Source organism: Homo sapiens, chromosome 12 (genome assembly GCF_000001405.40).
Source record: "Homo sapiens chromosome 12, GRCh38.p14 Primary Assembly".
Classification (NCBI taxonomy): Eukaryota; Metazoa; Chordata; class Mammalia; order Primates; family Hominidae; genus Homo; species Homo sapiens.
This window is the reverse complement of record NC_000012.12, coordinates 92,066,779-92,084,849: the sequence shown is the minus strand read 5'-3', so window position 1 is coordinate 92,084,849 and position 18,071 is coordinate 92,066,779. Positions and strand designations below refer to the sequence as shown.

At 38.9% G+C, this 18,071-nt stretch overlaps 1 long non-coding RNA gene across 5 annotated transcripts in view, besides 2 other annotated features; it reads left to right on the top strand.

Moving 5' to 3' along the window:
- Positions 1-18,071, top strand: part of LINC01619 (long intergenic non-protein coding RNA 1619) — a 157,856-nt gene that overhangs the window by 57,982 nt on the left and 81,803 nt on the right. The window lies entirely within an intron of this gene.
- Positions 5,966-7,165: an enhancer, noted in NCBI's record as "MED14-independent group 3 enhancer chr12:92471461-92472660 (GRCh37/hg19 assembly coordinates)". NCBI's record gives its function as "activates an origin of replication core promoter dependent on BRD2, BRD4, P300/CBP and CDK7 cofactors, and independent of MED14, by STARR-seq in HCT116 cells {active_cell/tissue: HCT116}" and the evidence as "EXISTENCE:reporter gene assay evidence [ECO:0000049][PMID:35650434]".
- Positions 6,323-6,617: an enhancer, noted in NCBI's record as "tiled region #4469; HepG2 Activating non-DNase unmatched - State 23:Low". NCBI's record gives its function as "activates a minimal TATA promoter and a strong SV40 promoter by Sharpr-MPRA in HepG2 cells {active_cell/tissue: HepG2}" and the evidence as "EXISTENCE:reporter gene assay evidence [ECO:0000049][PMID:27701403]".

The following is an 18,071-nucleotide window of genomic DNA, read 5'->3' as shown; positions in this document are numbered from 1 at the left end:
ACCTGTAATCCCAGCATTTTGGGAGGCTGAGGTGGGAGGATTGTTTGAAGCTAGGAATTCAAGATCAGCCTGGGCAGCCAAGCAAGACCCTGTGTCTAAAAAGATTAAAAAATAAAATAAAATTAGCTGGGTGTGGTGGCACACACCTGTGGTCGCAGCTTCTTGGCTGAGGCAGGAGGATCACTTGAGTACAGGAGCTTGAGGCTGCAGTGAGCTATGGTCTTGCCACTGCACTCCAGCCTGGATGACAAAGGGAGACCCTATATCTTAAAAAAAAAAAAAAAGAAAAGAAAAGAGAAAAAGGAAAATTCACAAGGACTCAGAATATCAGGAAGCCCAGAGATTCCCCAGAAGTTCAATCCCCACTGTTCCTTGCCTGCTTATAACACCTTTCACTTGCTACTTGGCGAACTGCTTCTGTTTCTAATGTTGATTGAGCAAAGATGTCCTGTTTCTTCTGTATAATAAAGAAGCAAAATAACAGAGCAGGAAAAGTGAGTTCCTTCAGGCTCACAGTCCCTTGGTAAGAGTCTTTCTCCTGTGTTATTCTTTGAAGAGTTGTCTAATGGACTCTTCTTTCTACCAGGTAATGATGATACTGATACACTGGAGTAAAAAACGATTATTGAGTTGGTTTTCCAGAAATGAGAATACATTGTGTATAATGCTATGTACCCTTTACCATAGACCCTCTTGAACCCAAAGTATATATTTGCAAGATGGCATCCCTATCAGATGAGGTCTTTGGTGATAGAGCTGAAAAAAATTAACTGTTTCCTATAGGAATCTTATCTCTGATTAGACAACAGGTCTAGAACTAATAGAAAAAACTAAATGTCTGTGTTCCTCAAATAAAGAAACATCTTAAAAATATCATAGGTATTCAAGATCGCATGTCTACTGACTCCAATTTGAAAAATGCTGATTTATAAAGCTAAAGTATTATTCTAAGAAACTGCTTTTTTGTTCCAATTGTAAGTGGTAAGAGTTCTTGTGTTTTGCACAATAATGGCTCCCCAAAGACATCTATATTCTAATCTATAAACATGTTGCCTTACATGGCAAATGGAACTTTGCAGAAGTGACTATGTTTAAGGATCTTGAAACAGGGAGATTATTCAGGTGGCCCCAATCTAATAATCTGAATTCTTATACTTGGAGAATCTTTCCAGTCTTTAGTCAGAGAAAGAGATGTGACGATGGTAGCAGACTCAGACACGTGCTTCATCACTGGCTTTGAAGAAGGAAGAAGAAGGCTGCAGGCCAAGGAATGCGGCTACCCTCTAGAAGCTGCAAAGGCAAGAATGGTTTCTCCTCTAGAGCCTCCAGAAAAAGCCCAGGCTAGCTGACACCTTGATTTTAGTCCAATGAAAACTGTGTCAGGTGTCTGACTTCCAGAACTGTAAGATAACAAATTTTGTTGTTTTAACCCACTAAGTTTGTGGTACTTTGTTATAGCAGTAATAGAAAACTAATACAGTTTTGTTGTTAAACTATACAAGATTTAAAAAATATATTGTTAACATGCAAAAATAAAAATAAAAAAATTTACAAAATTCATGACCTCTGAAACGATGTCTCTGGATATTCCAACAGTCCTTGGTTCTGAGAGTGAGAGACACCACTGTATTTAAATATTTAAGGAGATGCCAAGCACGGTGGCTTACGCCTGTAATCCCAGCACTTTGGGAGGCCGAGGCAGGGGAATTGCTTGAGTCCAGGAGTTGGAGACAAACCTGGGCAACATAGAGAGACCTCGCCTATAAAAAATAAAAAATTAGCTGGGTGTGGTGGTACGTGCCTGTAGTCCCTCTACTCGGGAGGCTGAGGTGGGAGGATCGCTTGAACCCAGGAGGCTGAGGCTGCAGTGAGCTATGATCACACCACTGCACTCAGCCTGGAAGACAGAGTGACAAAATTAAATTAATTAAAAATAAATAAATACTTAAGAAGCAATTGATAAAAGGATTCATAGATCTTTCTTTTTACCTATGCTTTTGTTGAGCAGATTTGTAAGTTGTTTAATTCATTGTCTCAAATTTGGTGGGCTTATTTTGTGAAATAGTTATCTTTCCTCATATGCCAAGTCACTTTCCCTTTCAGTTATTTAAACTAATCATCTCTCAGAGCTCAGATTTCCAATAGTAGCCTATAAATGATGCATCATAGCCTTTAGTAATGCATTTTATAATCATCAGAAGCTGTGCATTATTTTTTTGCATAATTCAAAGTTTTTCTGTTTAGCATTAAAATAGCAGATTGGTTTATTTGCAGTGAGATTCTTTCAACTAATAAAAACATAGCTAGTTCTTCTTAGTAATACTTTGAAATCTAACTGTGTTATCTCTTGGAATATTTTATTTGTACCCTGTGGAAAAATATGCATCTCATTCAGACAATCATGTTGTCTTCTCTCTGTCTAAAATTATTGATACATTGATTTTAAAAACACTCATACACACACAGAAATAGGGAGAGAGAGAGAGAGAATATATATAATAGGTCAAGAAAGAATTTGAGAGGTTACCTCTTTCTTCAGGCAGGACTATATCTGAATGATTCTGAACAGATAAATATCTATCCTAGGAATGGAAATGAAATTTTTTCCCCTAAGGGAGCTCTAAATATATTTCAGTCTGCTCATTTGCAAGAGTCATTTACATTGATTTCCATGAACCATTCCTAGGTCTATTCTTCATACAACCCTTGACTTATCAAAACCTCTCTTCCTCTCTTTCTCGCTCTCTTTCTCCTATTTATTATTCATTCAATTCATATTGAGTGCCTACTCTGGGAATGGTCTTGTGCAAGGCATTATGAGAATCTCTGAGAAGTGAAACATATAGTTCTACCCCAAATAACTTACACTCTACTGGGGAAGCCAGAGTTTGGGCCTAAGGAAAAGTTAAATGACTCCACAAGAGATGCTTATAAGATATCAGACAGTGAAGTGCAAATGAAGGATAATAACAGATAAATATGAGTAATGATGATGGCAGAATAAGCGTCTGTTGAGTACCTGCTGTATGCTAGGCCCCTGTGTGTGTTGTCTCTTTTTAATCCTCAACAAACTGTTGAAATAAAGATTTTTATACCCATTTATATAATTACAAAATATTGGATATGAGTATTCAAACTGACTCAGCTTTATCTGAATCTAAAACTCATGTTCATTTCACTGGGCCACACTTTCTTTGAACTTCACAGAAAGCAATGCTCCCTGTGGACTGAAATGTTTCTGGAGGAAGTAGCAATTGTTAGATTCCTATATCAAGCATCTACGCTGTGTCAGGCACTTGCTAGATCTGTACTCCCATTGTTAAAAATGAGGAAACTGAGGCACAGAAAGGCCAAGTAACTTGCCCACAGGCACGTATTAAGAAAGTGTTACAGCCACTATATAAATCCCAGATAGTCTGATTCCCAACGTAATTCTGCCTCCTGCTTTGTGCTGGATATCAGAGACATAATTTTGAGTGGCACAAGAAGGTTTTCTTAGTCTTTATAGAGTAATATGGAAAGAAATGTATATGATGAAGTGTGATAACTATTTTGATAGAGGAAGTAGAATGCTGTGGGGATACAGAAAAGTGTTCATAATCTAGACAAGAAGAAAACAGAGAATGCTTCCAAAGGAGAAGTTTTTAAGTCAAAACCTGAGGGATGAGTAGAAGAGAGCCAGGGAAGGAAGAAAGGAAGATGGGCAGTTAGTCACAGCCTATACCCTAACTCAGTGATTCGTTCACAAAGCAGCCAACTGCTTCTATTAACGTCTTCCCTCAATATCCACTGGGTTCACTCCTTAATTTCATTTAGGTCTTTATGCAGATGTGACCTTCTTACTGAGATCTCACCACCCTATTTAAATTACACCACACCCCCACGCTACCAATTTCTCTCCATGTCATTCATTTAACTGCCTGTTTTATTTATTTGTTGTGTTTTAAAATTGTCTCTTCCCTCCCATATGAATATGTGCTCCCTGAGAACAATTTTCTTTCTGTTATTTTCATTGCTATATCTTAAGCACCTAAGACAGTGCTTGCAACATAATAGGCTCTCCATAAATACGTTTGGGCTCTCCATAAATACTTGCTGAGTGAATGTTGAGTGGATGAACTAAGAGTTCCATAAATTCCTGACTTCATGATTGCTGTCGCATGTGACTCAGACATACTTTCACTCAGGTTTCTCAGTAAACACTTCCCGATGTCCTTAGAATGTCATGCTCCATTCTAAATACTCTAGGAGGCCCCAGGCTATGTGGTGGGCAGGTTCCTTTCACCAGGGTGCTTTTTATCTCCCTAAACTCAATAAACCACAAAGAGAATTTTCTCCAACTTTGTGTAGTACAGTGGCTTTTAGTTTCTGTTTCTATCCATCACCTGCACAGTGACAAAGACTCTCTTCTGTGCCAACTTTAGTCAGGGTCCTTTGAAACTTCTTCTCGTCTAGGCTTCTAATTTGGCCTGTTGAGCCCCATTTTTGCAAATAATCCTGCTAAGTCCTTCAAGAATCTCTCATCCTTACCAATTGTTGATCCACTGACCTCCTCACTCTCCTCATTGGGTATAAATCTCCAGCTGTCTTTGCAATAATTAGGAGTTGAGTTCAATCCCTCTCCTCTTTTGCAATAGTCTTGAATAACATCTTGGCTGTTTGTAACAAGTGTGTGGTGCAAACATTTTTTATTTGGCAATGTTCTCTTTTCAATTTTATTTCCATAAAGAAGTTTGTTTCTGCTGGGCACGGTGACTCACGCCTGTAATCCCAGCACTTTGGGAGGCTGAGGGGGGCAGATCACGAGGTCAGGAGTTCGAGACCAGCTTGGCCAACATGGTGAAACCCTGTCCCTATTAAAAATACAAAAATTAGCCAGATGTGGTGGTTCACGCCTGTAGTCCCAGCTACTCGGGAGGCCGAGGCAGGAGAATTGCTTGAACCTGAGAGGCAGATGTTGCAGTGAGACAAGATCGCGCCACTGCACTCCAGCCTGGGCGACAGAGCAAGCCTCCATCTCAAAATAAATAAATAAATAAATAAATAAATAAAGTTTATTTCTAGATCTCTTTGCCCAATTAATCCTCTGAATCTCATCCCTGTGGTACCTTCCTGTGTTATGGTGTTTGTCACACTAAAATTTAATAATATGCTTTCTGATTTTTGCTTAATTAATAAGACCTTTGGCTTTTGGTTGACTATGTTTAAATATGAGTACACTATAAAAATATTTAATATATCAGAGCCACTATATGTAGCCTGTTTTGTCTATGTCAATAAACTTCTATTATTTTCTCAGATAGTTTGCTTTATAAACATAGGCTGACAGTTGGTACTTTGCTCCTTTTTTTAATATTCAGATGAAGGTACTGAAGCAGAGATTCCAAAGCCTGTTTTCTGATCGCAACAGAATCTAAAGACCTTAGAGGAGGCAAGAGTAACTCATTTGATCAGAGAGGAAGAGGAGAGAGGAGACAGAGAGAGAGAGAGAGAGAGAGAATGAGAGACAGACAGACTGAGTAGAATGAGAATATTAGGTGCCTGACTAGGAAACTGCAGAACAAGGTGATTACTCCTTCATCCTCCCCCTCCCCTCATGGAGTTGCCAAAGAGACTTGAAGTTATATTGTCCTGGTGATGGAACACTGTGGTTATGGTTACTGTGTAACTTTTGAAAATAATTTTTGGAATCATTGGTTTGCCAAGTAAAGTCCATTCATGTGCTATTATGTCATTATACCAGGAGAAGAATGGCATATTAGAAATAAAAACTGGAAAGAAAACTTGAAGTTAATGTCTAGTTTCTGCCCACGTGATGTGACTGGACCTTCTGTATAATGATGGCCATGCTTACAGCAGTCTGAGCAGACCAAGGTCAGAATAGCAACCTGCTCCCTGCTATCACTTCTATTACAGTCACCTCATTTCAGCCCTTGGACACAAAGCAAACTTTATTTGGAATTTTCCTGGCTGGTGAGACATCCACTCAAGGATTTTTTTTAGGTCATCTATTTCTTGTTTCTCCAATATGGATTCAGGAAAAAAATGGATCTAATTATGAACCTTTTGATCAATCAATTAGATGTTTCCTTGGTCTTTGAGCAGAAACTTAACATGGAATTCCTGAAGGTCAAATACATAACTCTGAATAAAATATTGAAGCGGGTTTCAAGTTTCATAACTACTGAATTTTGAGATAAGTGTTTCCATATGTTTCTACTGATGAATCAACCTATAGTCACTTCATAGTTTCACTCAAAAACATTTTTTTCCTTTCCCAGTTTTGTTTTTCTATTACATTTGTGTTTCTCTTCATCCCACATGAAATCTTCTATTCCCAAGAGAGCTCCTGAATGAGAAAGAAGAGAGGACAAAACAATGAAGTGTGAGCACGGAGTCAGTTGGGCAAAGTCCCAAGATATCTTCACAAGAAGGAATAACAAGGGTGGAGTGCACAGTAGGAGCAAAAAGTTGCTGAGTCACATAGAGACTAATGTTCCCACACTAGGATAGGAAGATCTTGGTACACAGACAACAGTTTGTCTGCAAGTCTTTTCCAGGGTTACTGGGCTGCCTAAACCAAACCACCCCTTCAGGCTTACAATAGTATGATGTTCAGCGACTCATCTCTTAAGACTCTTCCTTTTGACTCTTGTCATGCCTTCCCCATAAAGATCATTTCATGAATGGTTTGTCTGTGGTTCAGAGAGAGACATGTAAAAAGCTTAAATAGTATAAGGTAGGGTCTAGGATTAGTGAATTAATTCAACACATATTTATTGAACATATATTATGCATCAGTCATGTTTTTCTCTAGGAATTAGAAATAGAGTTATGGGTCACTGCTCCATTGAGCTTCCGTTCTAGCGATAACTGGGGAGTGGTGAAGAAGTCAGACATTCAGCAGATAAGTCAATGAACAAACATGATTATTTCTGAAGGTAACGTTTACCAAGGAAATAGGCCTGGGGGTTACCACTGAAAGTGATGAAGGGAAGGTGGAAGTGAAGTGTTCCAGGCAGAGGGAGCATCATATGCAAAAATAGCATGTGCAGATGAGAGTGGCTTCCATCCTTTTTTTGTCAGCTTCAAAGGCTTCTAGGAGCCATGGCAGAAGCTGTGATATGCCCAGAGGGCCCTGCAGTCTGTTGATGTTTCAAATCTAGGGAAACACAAGGGCCCTAGGCAGCATAGCCCTGACCTAAGAAAAAGAGGGTGATTAAACACCTCATGTCTTCTTTTGTCATTTTTGCTATTTTACCTCCCCTCTCAGTCTCTACCCACTTCTAGAACAATCTCATCTTTAGGGGTAGCTGCAAACAAGTCCCCATGGAAATGCTGAATAAAAGTATTTGAGGAACTTCTGTAAATAACTTTGAGAAATGATACCATAATTTCACTGGGCTTTGAAAAAAGTGCTACACTGTGGAATAATGAGTTTTATTGTAGTACATTAAGTCACTGATTCTCAACTGGGAGTGATTTTGCTCCTCTGTCTCCTTCCCCCAAGAAGACATTGGTAATGTCTGAAGACACCTATGATTGTCACAACTTGGGATATGAGACATCTAGTGAGTAGAGACCAGAGAGACACCATTAACCATGTGATAGCACACAGAACAGTCTCCCTACAACAAATAATTATCTAGGCCTGCATAAAATGTTGAATCAAAGCTCTTGTAGTTCTTCTTACCAGCATAGATTTAATCTTTCACATCAGTGTCCGGTGTTGTCAGAGTACAGAATGGGTTCCGTTTCTGGAGATTGTTAGTCTTCTGGATCCATTATTGGGGCTCAAATCCTGGCTCCTGACTTATCAGAGGTGTGACTAAATGTCTGTGTGTGAGGCCTTGAGCAAGTTGGTTAGCATTCTGTGTCTCCATTTCCTTATCTGTAAAATGAAGATAATAATAGTCCCTACCTCCCAAAGTTATTTTGAGGAAACTGTGAAGTGATGTATTTGATTATTAACAGGGTCTAGCATACCACGATCACTCAATAAACATTAAACATTATTATTATTTCCTGCTGCCAAGTCTTGCTTACTGAAATCAAGACTGGTAACTATCAGAAGATTTGGGTGGAGATCATCAACATTAGCATACCCTGTCCCACAAATTCATTTTGGATCCTTCATCAGCTAGTGGCAGCAAGTATTTATGGACTGCCCAAATGTATTTACGAAGAGCCTGTTATGTTGCAAATACTGTCTTAGATGCTTAAGATATAGCAGTGAAAATAACAGAAAAAAATTGTTCTAAGGGAGCATCTATTTGTATGAAAGAAAATAGACAAAAAATAAACAACAGTCAAAATATGTAGTTAGGTGAATGTTGGGGAGAGAAATTGGTAGTGTTGGAGGTGTAGTGTAATTTAAATAGGGTGGTGAGGAAAGACCTCAGTAAAAAGGTGACATCTGAGTAAAGACCCAAGTGAAATTAAGGAGTGAACCAAGTGGATATCTGGGGGAAGAAGTTAATAGAAGCAGTTGGCTGATTTGTGAACCAATCAGAGTTAGGTTATGGGCTGTGATTTTGTTGACTAATTGCACATGCCCCTTTCTTCCTTCCCTGGCTCTCTTCTGCTCATTTGGAAGAATTCTCTGTTTTTTTTTTTTTTCTTGTCTAGATTAGAAATTCTTTTCTCTATTCCCACAGCATTCTACTTCCTCTATCAAAATAGTTATCACACTTCATCATATAACTTGTTGAATTTTCTTTCCATGTTATTCTAGAAGGACTAAAAAGACCTTCTTGTGCCCCCAGAAATTATATCTTTGATATCCAGCACAGTTCCAGTAACCTGCCAGGCATCCTGCTGAATAGGGAGAAGGATGAAAAATATGGAGTGGACAGACCTGGTGGAAGTTTCCCCTTGAGTGCAGCAACGTGATGACCCCAGAGAAAAGCAGTAGACACATTTATCTTTGACTTGAAAATAGAGCTGATGTTTTAAAGCCTCAGTAAAGTATCTTAGCTATTTGAAATTTGCATGTGTCGTTGCACCACTGTCTGCGGCAGCTGATTCCTGAAGCATGATTCAAAGTGAATTTGAATTGCCTTTGGTATCTGCTATAAGGCTTATTAGACAGCTTTTGGGGACAGGCCTCAAAGTGAAAAAAGAAGTATAGTCCATTGCTGAGCAAGGAAGAGTATTTGAAACTGGCTTGGTTCAGAAACAGTGGCTACCTCTAAAGTGTCCTTGTCAGAGGCATGCTTAGAGTGACCAGTCATGCAGCAAAGACTTGCCTTTCAACAGCACATGTTATCTGGCAGAAGAACCCTTCATTACAAAGACAACAGCTTCCAGTGGCTTTTCCTAGAACTGTCCAGAAGCTCAGGTTTTCTCATTGAAAGATCAAGATCCTAATCTTTTATTAACTCTATGCCTATGCAGTATTTTTTTTTCTGTGATTTTTATCATGGAAAGAAAGGAATACGTCTTCTCAATATTTGGATCTTTTTCTTAGATTCCTGCCATCTTTTCAAAGCTTAATGATATGGACAGTTTAAACCCCGTTGTCATATTTGAATTTTCTATTCTCTGAGAATAGTGATTTAAGAGGCTCAACTCTCACAAGAAAAGTATCTGAGGAAATTGAGCAGAGATATGAAAAATAAATTGTCATTTGTTTACAATAAAATTCAATTCACTTTAATAAATTTTGTATTAGAAGCTGCCAAATCTAGTCTCAGCTTCCTGTTTCTCCTGCAACCTGGACACAAAAGCATTCCATTCAACCTCCCCTTCTAGTGACTGATTTTTTGCCAGGAACTCCCGGCATGCACTGCCATCTGTTCACCTCTCAGCTGTTTGAACCCACCTTCCTTCCTAAATTAATACGAGAAAGCATCTTCTCTATGTCAGTCCTTTCAGCTACTCCTTTACACAACAGCTAACTCCAACCTAATTCTAAGTATCAGGATTCATCCATAATTCTCTAAGAAGACACAACAGTAGCAAAACTGGAAAACCAAACCTATCTAAATATATGGCCCAATCAGCTGCTTAAAAACACTGCAGCTATCTTAAAGCATGTATTGCAAGCAGAATATCTGAATCCAATTAGATTATTTGATATCACACCTGAACTGAAGGACTCTCTAGAGGCAAATTGTTTTTCTGTTCTCTTCTTCAACTACTGTTGGGCCATCCAGGCCCAAGAGTTCTCAGCTCAAACGTTTTGGGGAGATAAGTTCCGAGATCAATTCAATAGCTGCCCTTTTTTTCTTTTCTTTTCTATTTGGCCTTTGGGTAGAATTAGCCACTTAATTTTTTTTTTTTTTTTTTTTTTTTGAGACAGAGTCTCACTGTGTCATCCCGGCTGGAGTGCAGTGGTGCAATCTCAGCTTACTGCAAGCTCTGCCTCCCTAGTTCATGCCATTCTCCTGCCTCGGCCTCCCGAGTAGCTGGGACCACAGGCACCTGCCACCACGCCCAGCTATTTTTTTTTTTTTGTATTTTTAGTAGAGATGGGGTTTCACCACGTTAGCCAGGATTGTCGTGATCTCCTGACCTCATGATCTGTCCACCTCGACCTCCCAAGCGCTGGGATTACAGGCGTGAGCCACTGCACCCGGCAGCCACTTTTTTTTTTAATATGAGGAGTTTCTTATAAACATATCTCTTTCGTGTTGTGTCTCTGTCAGGTTTTGGTATCAGAATAATGCTGGCCTCATAGAATGAGTTAGTGGGGACTTTTATTTTAAGGCCAGGCATGGTGGCTCATGCCTGTAATCCCAGCATTTTGGGAGGCTGAGGCAGGCAGATCACCTGAAGCCAGGAGTTCAAGACCAGCCTGGCCAACATGGCGAAACCCCATCTCTACTAAAAAATATAAAAATTAGCTGAGCATGGTGGTGGGTGCCTGTAGTCCCAGCTACTTGGGAGACTGAGGCAGGAGAATTGCTTGAGCCTGGGAGGCAGGGGTTGCAGTAAGCTGAGATCATGCCATGGCACTCCAGCCTGGGTGACAGAGCGAGACTCTGTCTCACAAAAAAAAAAAAAAAAGTGAGATCATGTCTCTTGCAGCAACACAGACAGAGTTGGAGGCCATTATCCTAAGTGAATTAATGCAGGAACAGAAAGCGAAATATTACATGTTCTCACTTATAAGTGGGACCTAAACACTGAGTACATTTGGACACAAAGAATGGAGCAACAGCCACTGGGACCTACTTGAGGGTGGGGGGGTGGGAGAAGGGTGAGGATCCAGAAAACTGCTTATTGGGTACTATGCTTATTACCTGGGTGATGAAATAAACTGTTCACCAAATCCCCGTGATACACAATTACGTACCACTGAACCTAAAATAAAAGTAAAAAAAAAAAAAGAGTCTCTTTGGAAATTAGAGAAGACAAGACTGAAGGAAAAGAAAGTGGAGGAAAAATCCAACTCTTCTTAAATATTTCTCTCTTCTCTAGAGACACTGTGCCAATAAAGATGAGAAAGGAAAGACTCGTGGTTGTAGAAACTGGCTGGGAGAAAACCTAAGTGTATTAGTTTCCTAGGGCTGCTGTAACAAAGTACATATGGTTCTTGACATAGTTTGGCTGTGTCTCCACCCACCCAAATCTCATCTTGATTTGTGGCTTCCATAATCCCCACGTGTTGTAGGAGGGACCTGGTGGGAGATAATTGAATCATGGGGGCAGTTTCCCTCATATTGTTCTCATGGTAGTGAATGAGTCTCACAAGATCTCATGGTTTTATAAGGGAAAACCCCTTTCACTTGGTTCTGATTCTGTCTTGCTGCCTCCATGTAAAACGTGCATTTCACCATCCGCCATGATTGTGAGGCCTCCCCAGCCACGTGGAACTATAAGTCCATTAAGTTTCTTTTACTTTATAAATTACCTAGTCTCGGGCATGTCTTCATCAGCAGTGTGAAAACGGATTAATACAATTCCCAACATATTATGGTTCCACTTGCAATTTTTCAACTTTATGATGGTGCAAAAGTGACACATTAAGTATCTACATCTGGATAAATCCTTTATAATTTGAAAATATTGTGACATAACCCCATCCTAAGTTGAGGGGCATCTGTGCTACAAACTGGGTGGCTTAAACAACAGAAATGTATTGACTTACAGTTCCGGTGGCTAGAAGTCCAAGAGCAAGGTGCTGGCAGATTTGGTTCCTTCTGAAGCCTGTAAGGGAGAATCTGTTTCATGTCTCTTTCCTAGCTCCTGGGGATTTTCTGTCGATCTTCGGGATTCTTTGGCTTTAGATGCGTCACCCCAATTTCTGCATTGATATCCACATCACATTCTCCCTGTGTGTGTGTATCTTCTTCTGTGTGCAAATTTCCCCCTTTTAATAAGGACACAGTCCACAGTCCTATTGGATTAGGGCACTCCTTAATGACCCCATGTTAACCTGATCATTAGCAAAGACCCTATTTTCAAGTAAAGTTACATTTGCAGGTATTGGGAGTTAGCATGTCAACAACTTTTAGGGGGAAATAATTCAATGCATAACACTAGGATTGACTGGAGCTGAATAAGGCCATTGTCTTCTTTCTGAATTCAAACTTGAATAATGGAGGAGGTTTCAGGCTGCTTAGTTGTATAGATTGCAGCATGAATGTCTTTCGTTGCTTAGCATTCTCATCAATCCACCAAGGCATATTCTGGCTCTCTTCTACATGTCTTACATTGCACTGTTTCTTATATACATTTTGAAAAATTATTTTGTTGCTATCAGTGTAATTTTTTCCTAGAAAATGGCTACATATGGGATGTGGAAAAGATAAACAAAATAAAACCCAATTTTAAGCACAAGAAATTGATCCAACTCTTTTTTTTTTTTTTTTTTTTTTTTTTTGAGACGGAGTCTCGCTCTGTCGCCCAGGCTGAAGTGCAGTGGCGGGATCTCGGCTCACTGCAAGCTCCGCCTCCCGGGTTCACGCCATTCTCCTGCCTCAGCCTCCCAAGTAGCTGGGACTACAGGCGCCCGCCACTACGCCCGGCTAATTTTTTGTATTTTTAGTAGAGACGGGGTTTCACCGTTTTAGCCGGGATGGTCTCGATCTCCTGACCTCGTGATCCGCCCGCCTCGGCCTCCCAAAGTGCTGGGATTACAGGCGTGAGCCACCGCGCCCGGCCGATCCAACTCTTATAGTACTTGTGAGTGTAGAAAATAAGAGTTGCTTTGGGTCTTCACTGGCTATTTTTCCAGAGTTTCCCTACCCGCTGTCATGCACACATCTACAAGACGCTAAAGCACTCATATGCATGCACATGCAGAAACTCATACATATACATAAAAGTGTAGTTTTCCAACAGAAGTTCTTACATTGGCTCTAGACAAGACTACTTGAGCATTGGCTCCAATTCCTCCTATATGGCAGTAACTCCCTTCATATTTCATTTGTTTTTAATCTAAAAAACAATTATTACCTCCTACTGGCAGATGACTGTCTATTAAATGCCCAACCTCCTGTATGCCAGCAGTAGAGCAAGAACAAGATAAATTGCTACTGGTTTCCCCAGGAGAAAATCTACTTTATCTCAAACAGCTGAATTGCCAGGTGGAGTTGAGTAAACTGTGGGGTTGCAACACAGTTGAGGCACAAAGTTCACCACTAACGTAAAACAGCCAACTCAGTTCTGCTTTTTAATGTCTTCTAAACTGACGGAACTGAGCAATATAAACAAGAGTGAAGCAATAGCCTCAGGGGTTGTCATTAGACAACTAATGAGCGAACAGCTATTTTATCATGTTTATGTGAAGAATACAATTTTATCTACTTGCCCCCCAAATTTACGGGGAAATAAAGGCCAAGAAGAGAAAAACTTTGCGGAAATTATTAGAGAAATATTGTTTATTTCCTGCTAGGTCAAATGATTCATAGTCTTATAGAGTTAGAAAGACCTTTTAGAGAGCAACTAATTCCAACTCCTTGTTTTCTTAGGTAAGAACACAGGAACTTGGGTAAATTAAATGGCATGAAGCCGGTTTAATGCAAAGTTTAGAGAGTTTTGGATTTAAGTCTCTTTGTATAATGGAGATAAAAATACATAGGTTATATGTTTTTATGAGGATTAAGTGAGAGAACACAGAGTTCCCAACTTGTCATATTGTGAGTTACCTTCCCTCCTTTGACCAGGGTCACCTAGCTAATTAGTTACAGAGAAAAGATTATCTATCATTTCTTAGTTCACCATCTCACCTCTGCCCACTGTTATCTTGGGCAGGACAGGAATCCTTTCAGGACAGGATTCCTGAAATCCCCAAACAAATGAACTTTATGGTTAAACTAAAAACATATTTTCAGTTTGTTGTTTCCAACGGCCCCACTAACAACTTTTACCAGAGCTGCTAATAATTAACCGAAGGGAATGACTGGATGGAAACTTTGTTCTGGCCTCCCCAGAGTGTACCTTGCCAGAGGTGGCGTGAGAGGCAGCCAGATTAAGAGAGAGAAGGAAAAGCCAGAAGCCTGCAAAAACACACATGTGCAATTGAACATCTTGGCTCTTGGACACTCAGAGCTGCAAGACATCGAAGTGCTTTCTTAATTTGTGTATTTACAGATTCGGGACTTCATCAGGGTCCAAACTCAGAGCGGTAGACCAGTGCCCTGGGTTTTCTCAGTGGCATCTCTTGCTCAATAAATTCATTAGTGACTTTCTGTAGCCTTACCCGGATCACAATCTCTGTTTTAACACTGTGACCTTAGTAGGGGTTCTCACAAAGTGGATTTCGGAAGAGAATGGAGAGAAATGGAGTGGGGAGTCATGGTGTTTGAGCATCAAGCATTCTATTGTTGATGATCTGGTGCTTGGCATCTCTTCATAAAGGTGGAAGATCAAAGAATACTTAAATTAGATATGCAAATAGAAGGAAAAACTAGCAACCCCTAACTTCTCTCTAAAATGCTAGTGATGAAGAAATTATTTGCTATGTGCCAGTCATAGGCAGCTATCGAGGGCTGCTTTTGTGGCTCTTTCACTGTTATTTTCCATGCATGAGTTTGGATTAGGTAGAGCTGCCATGTTCTTGGAAGCTGTCTCTTTCCCAGAAAGGATTAGAATTCTGCCCCATCATTTTGTCAAAAAAGCCAGTAATTTTTCTCACCTAGTTTCAGAATAAGAGGTAAAAATGTGCTAGGGCAACATGAGTTATTAGCCTTCCAAGCCATCAAATATTCAGAGGCTGTCATAGCCACCAACAAATCCCCTGGGCCCAGAATTGTGCAGAAGGTGTTCCATGATTCCTGGTTGAACAAATGAGGGATGGAAGAGGCTACTTGTGAAGACAGTTGCCCTTGATTTAGATGACTTTCACCAACCTTGGCTAGTTGAGTAGATATATTTATGGTATCCTGTTAAATTCTTTATTTACGATATCCTGTTAGAGTCTGTCTTCTAAATCCAGACATCCAAGAAAACAAGCCAAAATTACTGAAGAAACAAATAAGATGATTGACTTAATTTCAGTTTTGCAATTGAAACTAAATGTTCTATTCTAAAGTTGTAGAGAAGTAAGTTGGACTCTCCTCTGTTGCAAACAAAGATATTAATATTCCCATCGTAGGGTTGTTGTGAGGATTGAGTTGGTACCTGTTTAGAACAGTGTCTGCCAATAGAAAGGGCTCTGTAAATGTTAGATATTTTTTATTAATTTTTATGTCATGGTTTGAGCATGCTTTTAGACTAGCTTTTCAATCTTTTTCTAATTTCTCATATAGACAAGCATATATATAGTTTTTGCATAAATGCATATATGTTATCTCACACATATAATTATATATTATTTAGAGAAGTATATTAAAACTTTTGCTTAGCTTCTACTTCCCTTTCTTTCCTCCTTTACACCCCTCTCTGCCATGTAACTCGTTTGTGACTTGATATGTACTTTTACATTTTTCCCCTTGCTCATATCATATATACACTTTTTACACTTACACACATGTATAAGGGAAGTTTTGTTATTGTTTGTTTTATGAGCATTGCATAATATATACTTTCTACATCTCTTTTTTCATGTAAAGCATAACTGTACAGAAATCTCTTATAAGTAGAAATTTAGCTCTAATGAGTCTAACTCCTTGGAACTGCTGCCTAATAATCCATGGTGTGGATGAGCTGTTACCTATTCAGACATTCCCTATTGACTGGCATTTACTTTGATCCCTGTCCCTTCTCCTTTTCTTGCTATTATAAACACTGACATTAGGTGCCCTTTTACACATGCTCTATGTAATATTGGTCTGGGAGAGTTGCCAAGGAGAGAGATTGCAGGGTTAAATGGTGCATGTATCTTCAGTTTTTTTATGTCTGCTGCGAAATGGCTTTCCAAAACAGTTTTTACAGTTAAATTTTTCTCAGCATGTATGAACATCCATTTTTCCATATACCTACCACTAATAGAGGTTATTGATCATTTCAATTTTTGCCAGTCTGATGGACATAAAAATATATATATCATTGTAACTTTAATTTACATTTCCCCGACTATGATTTAATGTGAGAATATTTTCATTTGCTTGTTGGTCATTGCCCCTATGTAAATATCCTATTTGAATTCTTTATCCTTTTTTTCCGTTATTCATTGTCTTTGCTTTTGTCAATTTGCAAAACAAAACAAAAAAACACAAAAAACCCAACTGTTGCTGATGCCACAAATATTTCCAAACCTATCATTAGTCTACTGACCTTGTTGTGGAATCTTTCTTTTAACAAAATGTTTTAAATTCTTATATGATCAAGTAAGTCTCTCTTTTCTTTTATATCTTCTCCATTTTGACAAGAAAGCCTCCTTCCACATAATAGATTGTACATATATGTATATATGATATGCTAGATTTTCTTGAAGTATTTATTTTTTACAGTTGTCTTTAATCCAGAAGGCATTTCTTTTTGTAAATGGCATAACATTGGGGTTTGTTAAAAAAATCAGTTGAGTAGCTAGTTGTGCCATAATCAATCAAATACATATATAAATATGTATGTATATATGTATTCATATATGCATGTATATTTCCATATATGTACATGGATATATCCATATGTGTGTATATGTATATCCATGTATTATGGATATGGAATATACTTTCATTGGAAAAGAGTCTGGTTCAGTTTGAGAAGAAGGTGTTGAGTATGGTGTCACAGGAACAAAATATTTGAAAGAGAGAATTTGGAAGCTAAGATTAATTTGGAATCTATAATTGCACGTAGCTTTCTTCCCCTCCGCAACAGATTCAATTCTCTCAGACTCCTGAATCAAATGTCTGGTGGAGCCCATAAGTAGTAGTAGAAGTCAGTGAAACTAAATAGAGGATCAATAATTGTATATGCACATACATATATCAATATATGTATATATGCATATATGTATGTGTGTGGAAATGTATACATGTGTATATTATACATATATAGAGAATAAACATATACATATATGGAGATTATAGATACACACATAGATTAAATATATACCATATATATGGATACACATATGATACATGTATATCTCTACATGTGTAAGGTATATACATATATATTTTTATATATATATATCTGGTATATACATATAGAGATATACACACCATACCTATGGAAATATATATATGGGGGGTGTGTGTGTGTGCACGCATATAGTAAACATATATATATATACACACACACACCATATGTATGGATGTATGGATATATATGATATACATATGTGTATCTATAATCTCCATATATGTATGTGTTTATCTTCAATACATACATATAGTCCGGGCATGGCATGGCGGCTCATACCTGTAATCCCAGCACTCTGGGAGGCTAAGGCGGGTGGATCACTTGAGGCCAAGAGTTCAAGACCAGCCTGGCCAACACGGTGAAACCCCGTCTCTACTAAAAATACAAAAATTAGCTGAACATGGTGGCACATGACTGTAATCACAGCTATTTGAGAGGCTGAAGCATGAGAATCGCTTGAACCCAGGAAGCAAAGGTTGCATTGAGCCGAGATTGTGCCACTGCACTCGGCTGGGACAACAGAATGACACTCTGTCTCAAAAAGAAAAAAAATGTATAGATATATATCTATGTATACACTTCCATATACATACATG